Source organism: Homo sapiens, chromosome X (genome assembly GCF_000001405.40).
Source record: "Homo sapiens chromosome X, GRCh38.p14 Primary Assembly".
NCBI lineage: Eukaryota > Metazoa > Chordata > Mammalia > Primates > Hominidae > Homo > Homo sapiens.
The window spans coordinates 47,514,191-47,524,374 of NC_000023.11; the positions used below are offsets into that span (position 1 = coordinate 47,514,191).

Genomic DNA, 10,184 nt, shown 5'->3' on the forward strand with positions numbered 1-10,184 from the left:
TTTTTAATGGGACAAAGTCTCGCTCTGTTGCTCAGGCTGGAGTACAGTGGGGCGCGGTCTTGGCTCACTGCAACCTCCACCTCCTGGGTTCAAGTGATTCTCCTGCATCAGCCTCCCGAGTAGCTGGGATTACAGGCATGCACCACCACACCTGGCTAATTTTTGTATTTTTAGTAGAGACGGGGTTTCACCATGTTGGCCAGGCTGGTCTCCAACTCCTGACCTCAGGTGATCTGCCCGCCTCAGTCTCCCAAAGTGCTGAGATTACAGGTGTGAGCCACCATGCCAGGCTGAGCCGAGAGTCTAGCAGTGAGTCTTAACAGGGGGTGGTCTTGCCCCCCACGGGACATTCAGGAATATCTGTAGACGTTTGTTTTGATTTTCACAATGAGGTGCTATCAGCATCTAGTTTGTAGAAGCCAGAGATGCTGCTAAACATCCTACAATGCACAGTCTGCTCCACCCACCACGAAGGAGTTGTTATAGATGTTCAAGAGTCATATATTCTATTTCTTAATAATTATCTCCTAGAGATGCAATCGTTGACATTTCTGGGCTGTGAATCACTGGCCCAGTACACACGCTATAAATCACCTCCATAGAACACCCTGTTTTCTGACTTCCAAAGGCTCCTAATCACTGCTTCACACGCTCAGCAACACTGACCCCAGGATCTGGTGTTGATTAACAAACACTGATCCATAATCACTTCCATCTACTGTCCCCCCAAAACTCACTTACTTCATCCCCAAACCCCTTAATTACAAACACTTAATCACTAAGAAGCATAGATTTCATAAGACTAAGGCCCCACCCAGACCACATGGAACAAAAGCTACCCCACAGGCACCAGTCATATGGCCTCTAACCACTGACCCCTAGAGCACCCATATCCCAGAAGCCCACCAGTCACTATCTTGTAGCTTGGAAGTTGTCACTCCCATCCTCACAAGAAAAAGAGCTGAACAAACGGAAACAAAACAACTCTTCCCAGATTTGTCAGAGAATTGAGGGCACAGGGCAAACTGATGCCCTGAAAAAGTGGAAAGACAGCAATACAGAGAATCACAGCTTATCAGGAGCAGGCATGAGTAGGAAAAGGTAAACCAACAGATCAACTATTGGAGTCTGAGCTGCTCTCAACTACTGGACATGAAGTTCCTCTGTCCCCTCATCCCTGCCAAAACATGGCATGATCCAGCTCTCCAATTTATGGCAGGTGTAATGGGGCAGGTGTAAATAAGTTGATTACATCATGTTTCCTTTTATTTATTTATTTTTTTGAGACGGAGTCTTGCTCTGTTGCCCAGGCTGCAGTGCAGTGGCGCAATCTCGGCTCACTGCAACCTCCACCTCCCTGGTTCAAGGGATTCTTCTGCCTCAGCCTCCCAAGTAGCTGGGATTACAGGCACCCACCACCATGCCCGGCTAATTTTTATATTTTTAGTAGAGACAGGGTTTCACCATGTTGGCCAGGCTGGTCTCGAACTCCTGACCTTAGGTGATCCGCCCGCCTCCCAGGCCCGGTCCAGTGTTTATCTTTTTGTGACTGATTTATTTCACTTAGCATAATGTCCTCAAGGTTGATCCATGTTGTAGCATGCATCAGAATAGCTCCTTTTTAAGGCTGAAGAATATTCCATTGTATGGATAAACCATTTTTTATTTATCTATTCATCCATTGATGGACATTGCTTCCATCTCATGGCTATTGTGGATAATGCTGCTATAAGGCTGGGTGCACTGGCTCATGCCTGTAATCCTAGTAGTTTGGGAGACCAAGGCAGGAGGATTGCTTGAGGCCAGGAGTTTGAGACCCGCCCGGGCAACATAGCGAGACTCAGTCTCTATGAAAAATGAAAGAATTAGTCAAGCGCACTGGTGCATGCCTGTGGTCCCAGCTACTAGGGAAGCTGAGGTTGGAGGATTGCTTGAGCCTGGGAGTTTGAGGCTGCAACGAGCCATGATCATGCTATTGTACTTCAGCCTGGGAAAAAAAACTGCGGCTATGAACATGAGTGTGCAAATATCTCTTCAAGACTCGGCTTTCAATGTTTTTGATATATGCTCAGAGGTGAAATTGATGAATTATATTGTAGATCTATTTTTATTTTTTTGAGGAAGCTCCAAACTGTTTCCTATCAGTTGCACAATTTTACAGTCCCACCAAAAGTGCACCAGAGTTCAAATTTCTCCACATTCTCACCAACACTTGTTATTTTCTGTGGCTTGTCTCCTGCCCCTCCGCAAGCAACAGGAAATACTAGAGACAGAGGCCCAGCCATTGACTAGCACCTTAGTCAATGCCAGGCCCTGACTCATCCCTCCATTTATTCCAGTCACAGTGACAAGATGAAGGAGAAAGGACACATAGGTGTGGAGAACACAGGAAGAGAGGTCCTGACTGGGGAGGACAGTGAGGGGAATTGAATTGGGGGAGCTTCCATTTCTCACCTCTACTCTCTCAGTTTCACTGTGAGACAGAGTAAAACCCTGTCTTAAAAACAAAACAAAACAAAAACAAACAAACAAACAAAAAACAGGCGGGGGCGGGCATGATGGCTCATGCCTGTAATCCCAGAACTTTGGGAGGCCTAGCTGGAAGGATCACTTGAGCCTAGGAGTTCAAAGCCAGCCTGGGTAACATAGTGACACCCTGTCTCTACAAAGAATTAAAAAAATTATCCGAGTGTGGTAGCGTGCACCTGTGGTCCCAGCTACTCAGGAGGCTGAGGCGGGAGGATCGCTTGAGCCCAGGAGGTCAATGCTGCAGTGAGCTGTGATTGTGCCACTGCACTCCATCCTGAGCAACAGAGCAAGGCCTTGTCTCAAATAAATAAATAAATAAAAATTAAAAGAGCTCAAATAAACTGAGACAGAGGTTGAAAAATGGTTACAATGGGTAGGGGTTGGAGGGGAGATGAAGGTCTGAGGATACAAAATAGCAGATACCTACGATGAACAAGTCTGGAGGCCAATGTACAACATGAGGACTAAAGTTGATACAATTGTATTAGGGATTTTTGCTAAATAAGTGGATTTCAGCTGCTCTCCTCACAGAAAGTAACTGTGAGATGATAGATACTATGCTAATCTGCTTCGCTATAGTAATCATTGTACTATCTACATGTATCTAGTCATGTACGTATCCCATGACATTATGTTGCAAACCTCAACTATACACAATAGCATTTATTTAAAAATAAAATAAAAATAGGCTGGGCGCTGTGGCTCATGCCTGTAATTCCACCACTTTGGGAGGTTGAGGTGGACAGATCACTTAAGGCCAGGAGTTCGAGACCAGCCTGGCCAACATGGTGAAACCCCATCTCTACTAAAAATACAAAAATCAGCTGGGCGTGGTGGCGGGCGCCTGTAATCCCAGCTACTTGGGAGGCTGAGGCAGGAGAATTGCTTGAGCCCAGAAAGCAGAGGTTGCAGTGAACCAAGATGGTGCCACTGCACTCCAGCCTGGATGACAAAGTAAGACTCTGTTTCAAAAATAAATAAATAAAAATAAAAATAAAATATACACTTAATTTCAAAGTGTGTGATATACTTTGTAGTCACTTCCAGGCACTGCCTAGGCTAAAAGTCACTTCCACTTGGTTATATTGGACCCAGGATGGTGAGGAATTTGCATTCAGCCCTGACCACGTGCTCCCCACATGGGTGCAGGAGGACAAATTTGTCAGGCAGCACCACTGGATGAAGACTTGGCATCTTCCGGCCCAATGTGGAGACAACTCTGTCTTCATCCTTCTAACTGACTAGGGTAGGAAGAGTGATTTACAGCTCTAGCTACCATAGGCCTGAGACATATCTCATAACAGAGGTGCTGGGAGAGCCGCCTTTTCCCCCCAGAACCCACCTGCCTGCCTGGCCCGGGGACCGTGGGGACCTGGGCTCCCTGGGGGATGGGGCAGAAGTGGCAGTAAAATAAATGGAGCGAGTAGAGGTGAGAAATAGAAGCTCCCCCCATTTGATTCCCCTCACTCTCCTCCCCAGTCAGGACCTCTCTTCCTGTGTTCTCTGCACCTGACGTGTCCCTTCTCTTCCAGCTTGTCAATGTGACCGGAATAAATGGAGGGATGAGTCAGGGCCTGGCATTGATCAAGGAGCTGGGAGGGAGGGTCTGGGCCTCTGTCTCTAGTACTTCCTGTTATTGGCAGCAAGGCGGGAGATAAGTCAGACCCCTGCATTCAGTTGCTAGAGAGGTGGCTGAGAGGAAGTCACTGAAGGGACCAAGAAGTGACATTTGTCATTTTCTCTCCTGCCTCCAGCTTTCTTTGGCTCACATTTCCACCCTATGCCCTAGGCTGCCCTGACATTCAGCCCTGCTGCCCCAGTGCCCTCCAGGACTTGTATCCCCACCCATCCATTGTACAGCAAATTCTGATCCAGAATATATTAGGATGTGAAACCCCATGTGTTCTTGATCTTCGATCTCTAATTGCCATGGTTAAGATAGAAATGACATTCTTGAGGTTCATCTATTTGAGAGAAAGAATCTAATCTACAGCTGACTGTGGCTCTGCCCTTCCCCATCTCCATTTCTTGATCCTTGTTAAGATAATGTAGAATTTGGGATTCATATAGTTATCAATATACTGTTTTATATAATAATCTTTTGGTTCAGCCTGGGCAACATGGTGAAACTCCATCTCCACAAACAAATATAAAAATTAGCTGGGTGCAGTGGTGTGTGTCTATAGTCCCAGCTACTCAAGAGGCTGAGGTGGGAGGATCACTTGAGCCCCGGAGGCAGAGGTTGTGGTGAGCCAAGATCACACCACTGCACCCTAGCCTGGGTGACAGAGGGAGAGACCCTGTCTAAAAATAACAACAACAGCAACGAGAATAATCCTTTGGTCATATGTTGACCAAAGGTTACAGTTTTATAACTGGATGGATATATATATATATATATATATATATATATATATATATATTTTTTTTTTTTTTTTTTTTTTGAGACAGGGTCTCACTCTTTTGCCCAGGTTGGAGTGCAGTGGCGAAATCTCGGCTCACTGCAACATCCGCCTCCCGGGTTCAAGCGATTCTCTTGCCTCAACCTACTGAGTAGCTGGGACTACAGGCCTGTGCCACCACGCCCAGCTAATTTTTGTATTTTTAGTAGAGATGGGGTTTCCTCATGTTGGCCAGGCTGGTTTCGAACTCCTGGCCTCAAGTGATCTGCCCGCCTTGGCCTCCTGAAGTGCTGGGATTACAGGCGTGAGCCACCGCGCCTGGCCTGAAGGCATAATTTTTAAACCATAATTATGTTTTTGTTTTGTTTTTGTTTTTGTTTTAAGAGACGGGGTCTCACTCTGTTGCTCAGGCTTGTCTTGAATTCCTGGGCTCAAGCGATCCTCCCACTTCGGCCTCCCAAAGTGCTGGGATTACAGGCACGAGCCACTGCTCCTGGCCTCATAATTATGTTTAACCTGCTTCATTTTTCACTGCCAGGCTCAGCAGTGTCCAATAGAAATATAACGTGAGCCACCTATGTAATTTTAAATTTTCTTGAAACCACTTTATAAAAAGTAAAAAGAAACAAGTGAAATTAATTTTAATCATATATTTTATTTAACTCAATAGCTCCTAAATTGCATCATTTCAGCATGTAATCAATATAAAAATATTAATGAAATATTTTACAATCTGACCCAACAAGCTGGTAGATCTGACATGAAAACGTGTCTACCCATTAGGATGTCTATAATTTAAAAAAAACATAGAAAATAACAAGTGTTGGTGAGAACGTAGAGAAATTGGAACCCTGGTGCACTGCACTGTTGGTGTGATTGTAAAATGGTGCAACTGATATGAAATAGTTTAGAGGTTCCTCAAAAACTTAAAACTAGAACCACCATATAATCCAACAATTTCATTTCTGAGTATACATCAAAAGAATTGTGCCCGGCATGGTGGCTCATGCCTGTAATCCCAGTGCCCTGGAAGGCTGAGGCGGTGGGTGGATCGCTTGAGCCCAGGAATTCAAGACCAGCCTAGGCAACATGGTGAAACCCTGTCTCTACCAAAAAAAAATTAAAAAGTTTGGCAGGAGTGGTGGTATGTGCCTGTAGTCCCAGCTACTTGAGAGGCTAAAGCAGGAGGATCTCTCTCTTTTTTTTTTTTTTTTTTGAGACAGAGTCTCACTCTGTTGCCCAGGCTGGAGTGAAGTGGCATGCTCTCGGCTCACTGCAACCTCGCCTCTTGAGTTCAAGTGATTCTTGTGCCTCAGCCTCCCTAGTAGCTGGGATTACAGGTGCGCGCCACACACCTGGCTAATTTTTATATTTTTAGTAGAGACGGGGTTTCACCATGTTGGCCAGGCTGGTCTCAAACTCCCGACCTGAGGTGATCCGCCCACCTCAGCCTCCCAAAGTGCTAGGATTATAGGCGTGAGCCACCACGCCCCGCCTTGGGAGGATCTCTTGAGCTCAGGAGATTGAGGCTGCAGTGAGCCAAGATTTTGCTACTGCACTCCAGCCTGGGCAACAGTAAAACCCTGTCTAAAAAAAAAAAAAAGAAGAAGAAGAAGAAAAAGAATTGAAAGCAGGGTCTTGAAGAGATATTTGTACACCCGTGCTCATAGCGTTATTTTTATTTGAGGCAGGGTCTTGTTCTATTGCCCAGGCTGGAGTGCAGTAGCGCAATCTTGGCTCACTGCTACCTTGACCTTCTGGGCTTAAGGAATCCTTTCACCTCAGCCTCCTGAGTAGCTGGGACCACAGCCACACACCACCACATCAGACTAATTTTTAAATTTTTTGTAGAGACAAAAAGTCTTACTATGTTGCCCAGGCTGGTCTCGAACTCCTGGGTTCAAGTGATCCTCCCACCTAGAGCTCCCAAAGTGTTGGGATTACTGGTACGAGCCACTGTGCCTGGCCCTCCCTCACTTTTTTACAAGACAGTGTCTCATTCTGTCTCAAAGTGAGACTGAGGGAATAGAGGTGAGAAATGGAAGCTCCCCCCATTTGATTCCCCTCACTCTTCTCCCCAGTTAGGACCTCTTTTCCTGTATTTTCTGCACCTGACGTGTCCTTTCTCTTTCATCTTGTCCCTGTGACTGGAATAAATGGAGGGATGAGTCAGGGCCTGGCATTGATCAAGGAGCTAGGCATTGATCAAGGAGCTAGAAGAGAGAGCTGGGCCTCTGTCTCTAGTACTTCCTGTTACTGGCAGAAGGGCGGGAGACAAGTCATAGAAAACAACTTTCCCAAAATAAAGTGTTGACGAGAATATGGAGAAATTGGAACTCTGGTGCACTGTTGGTGGGATTGTAAAATGGTGCAACCAGGCTGGCGCAGTGGGTCATGCCTGTAATCCCAGTACTTTGGGAGGCTGAGGTGGGTGGATCATTTGAGGTTAGGAGCTTGAGACCAGCCTGATCAATATGGTGAAACCCCATCTCTGCTAAAAATACATAAAACTAGCCAGGCATGGTGGTGGGTGCCTGTAAGCCCAACTACTCGGGAGGCTGAGGCAGGAGAATCACTTGAACCTGGGAGGCAGAGGTTGCAGTGAGCGAAGATTGTGCTACTGCACTCCAGCTTGGGCGACAGAGCCAGACTCTATCTCTAAAAAAATAAAATAAAATGTGCAACCAATAGGAAATAGTTTGGAGTTTCCTCAAAAAATTAAAAATAGAACTACCATATAACTCAGCCATTTTACTTCTGAGTATATATAAAAAAGAATTGAAAGCAGGGCCTTGAAGTGATATTTGCACACCCACATTCAGAGCAGCATTATTTTTTTCTCAAGCTGGAGTGCAATGGTGTGATCATAGCTCACTGCAGCCTCAAACTCTCAGGCTCAAGTGATCTTCTTGCCTTGGCCTCCCAAGGTGTGGGGATTACAGGTGTGAGCCACTGTACCCAGCCTGAGCTCTTTTAAAAATATTCTACATATAAGTGAAGTCATGAAATATTTTTCTGCCTGTGTCTTAAGCAAAGCTATCCTTCAAAAATGAAGGAGAAATTAAAGTTTTTCCCTGACAAGAAAAAGCTGACGGAATTTATCACCACTAGACCAGTCTTAAATGTGGATTTCTAAACCTTGCTAGTCAGTTTGCCAATATTTTAACTTATACCTGTAGCATTTTAATGTCTATTTTATTCCATAAAGATGTATTGGGTACCAGATGTGTGCTTGACACATGGTTACCTGTGGGTCTTTTTATTTCAATTTCATCTTTTACACCAAAAGCTTCTAGGCCTGCCTCCACTATCCAGGTGCCCTGCACTCTCCATTAGGGTGCTGGGGCTAGGGCTCAGATGCCTAGATTCTCCTGAGAACCATCAGCCAGGGAAGAGGAGTTGGGAATGGAAAGCTGCCTTGTTTGTCCGGTACATATGCATATGTAGTTACTGGGGAATTGTAGTTACTGGGAAATTAAATCAGGGCCAACATGTGCATGTTTCTAACGTGGGGATAGATTTCTTCAATTCATTAGATCAATTGAGAGATTCTTAACTGTTTTGAACAGACAAATGTTGACAGGAGTTTATTTCCAGAGGCATATGGACTAAGAGTTTAGGTCTGTGGTGTATATCAGGGTGGGGATTGTTAAGGAAAAGGGATATCTGGGTATTAGGGGAAGGGGTGCACAGATATGTAGGACCGACCCACAGGCCTGGGTGACATCTGGACATCGCCTTACCAAGGAGCCCCGGTGCCCTCCTCAAGCCCTGCCCAGCTCCTTTTCCTGCCTGGCCACAGCCTGGGATGTACCTGGCTTCCCTTTATCTATAAAAAGGAAAGGCTTCCATTTATTTTAATATGAATTTATGCACATTCTACAAAGGCATTACCACACCTGCAGAAAACCATTGTTCGTACTTGGAGGGAGTTTTGATGATCATTCCTGTTCTGTGTATAGTTCACATTTTTACATGGAGATTTCTGTGTGTGTATCCTGCCTTTTTTGCTTTAATAGTACATGAAAATAATTTCCCATGATGTTACATAGTATTGATAAACAATTTTTCAAATGGTTCCATAATATTTTTAAAGAGACTGTCTACCTGAGTTTCTTTAATTTCATATTCCCTGTGGCTTCAGATGTTTCCTTTTTTAAGGATAATGCTTTGATAAGTATCTTTACACGCGTACGCGCACACACACATCCATCTCTGATCCATCAATCTATCAAAAGAAGAGGAGGATGGAGAAGATGGAGGAGGTGAGGGAAGAGGAAAGGAGGAGGGCTGCTCCTTCACGTCGTGAGCTCTGCGGGTGGTTGCGGAGCCTGGGTGAACACGACCGTGACCGTGGCTGCGAAGGCGGGCCCCGCCCTCTGACTGCGGACTACGCGGCGGCGCCTGTGCCGCAGTAGCGCTGGACCTTGGCCTCTGGCGGTCTCTGGCGCCCCCTCCCGTTCGCATCGTGAAGCTGGGCCGAGCCCGCTGCCCGCCGTTCCTCGCTCCTGTCTGCACCTCCTCCTCCGTTTTGCTTCCCTGCAGCTTTTGCCCCGCCCCCCTTCCCCTGCCTCCCCCTGGCCCTCCGCGTGTTAATTTAGGGGCCCCAACCCGGGGAACCCCTCGCAGAGCCAGCTGCTGTCGTTAGGCCCGGGTGAGTGAGCAGGACGAGAGGGCACGGCTGGCGACGGAGCCCCTCCCAGCGCTGCGGCGGGAGAGGGGGCTCAGCTCGAGTCGCCACCCGGACTCGCCGGACCCAGAGCTCCTCTTTGGGGTTCCCGCTCTCCCGCTCCCCGTGCTCCTGGGAAGAGGTTCTGGAAACGACCGAATCTGGGTGCAATCGGGGTGGCGCACAATCGCGCCCCTCCAGTCCCCTCTGCGGGCAGAGGAAGTGGGACTCGAGGACCAGAGCTCTCGGGCCTCCTGATCCAGGGACCTGCCATTTCCTGGCCCAGGACCCCGGGAATGCCCGAGCATGGCACCTCGACGTGGCAGGAAAACTGTTCAGGAGGCGGCAGAGGAGCCTGTGGGGGACGGGAGGCAGCCACCTCCCCGCGTCCTTCGAACCCTTTGCTTGGGCTGCCGGGCATCAATACCCCAACTCACCCAGCACCCCCTCTTCAGAATAACCTCAAAACCCAACCGGGCTCCTGGCCACAGGGCCTTCTCTTAGTCCAACCACCAGGCTGAGTGAATCCTCGTGGAGCCAGGAGGGTCCTCAGTGACCCTGCACAAACCCGTTATCAAGTCACC

At 47.2% G+C, this 10,184-nt stretch overlaps 3 annotated features.

Annotated features, from left to right (window-relative positions):
• Positions 2,186 to 2,386: a silencer, noted in NCBI's record as "peak7378 fragment used in MPRA reporter construct". NCBI's record gives its function as "represses an SCP1 promoter by STARR-seq MPRAs in K562 erythroleukemia cells {active_cell/tissue: K562}" and the evidence as "EXISTENCE:reporter gene assay evidence [ECO:0000049][PMID:32103011]".
• Positions 9,468 to 9,537: a silencer, noted in NCBI's record as "silent region_20805". NCBI's record gives its function as "represses an Ori minimal core promoter by ATAC-STARR-seq in GM12878 lymphoblastoid cells {active_cell/tissue: GM12878}" and the evidence as "EXISTENCE:reporter gene assay evidence [ECO:0000049][PMID:35858748]".
• Positions 9,598 to 9,647: a silencer, noted in NCBI's record as "silent region_20806". NCBI's record gives its function as "represses an Ori minimal core promoter by ATAC-STARR-seq in GM12878 lymphoblastoid cells {active_cell/tissue: GM12878}" and the evidence as "EXISTENCE:reporter gene assay evidence [ECO:0000049][PMID:35858748]".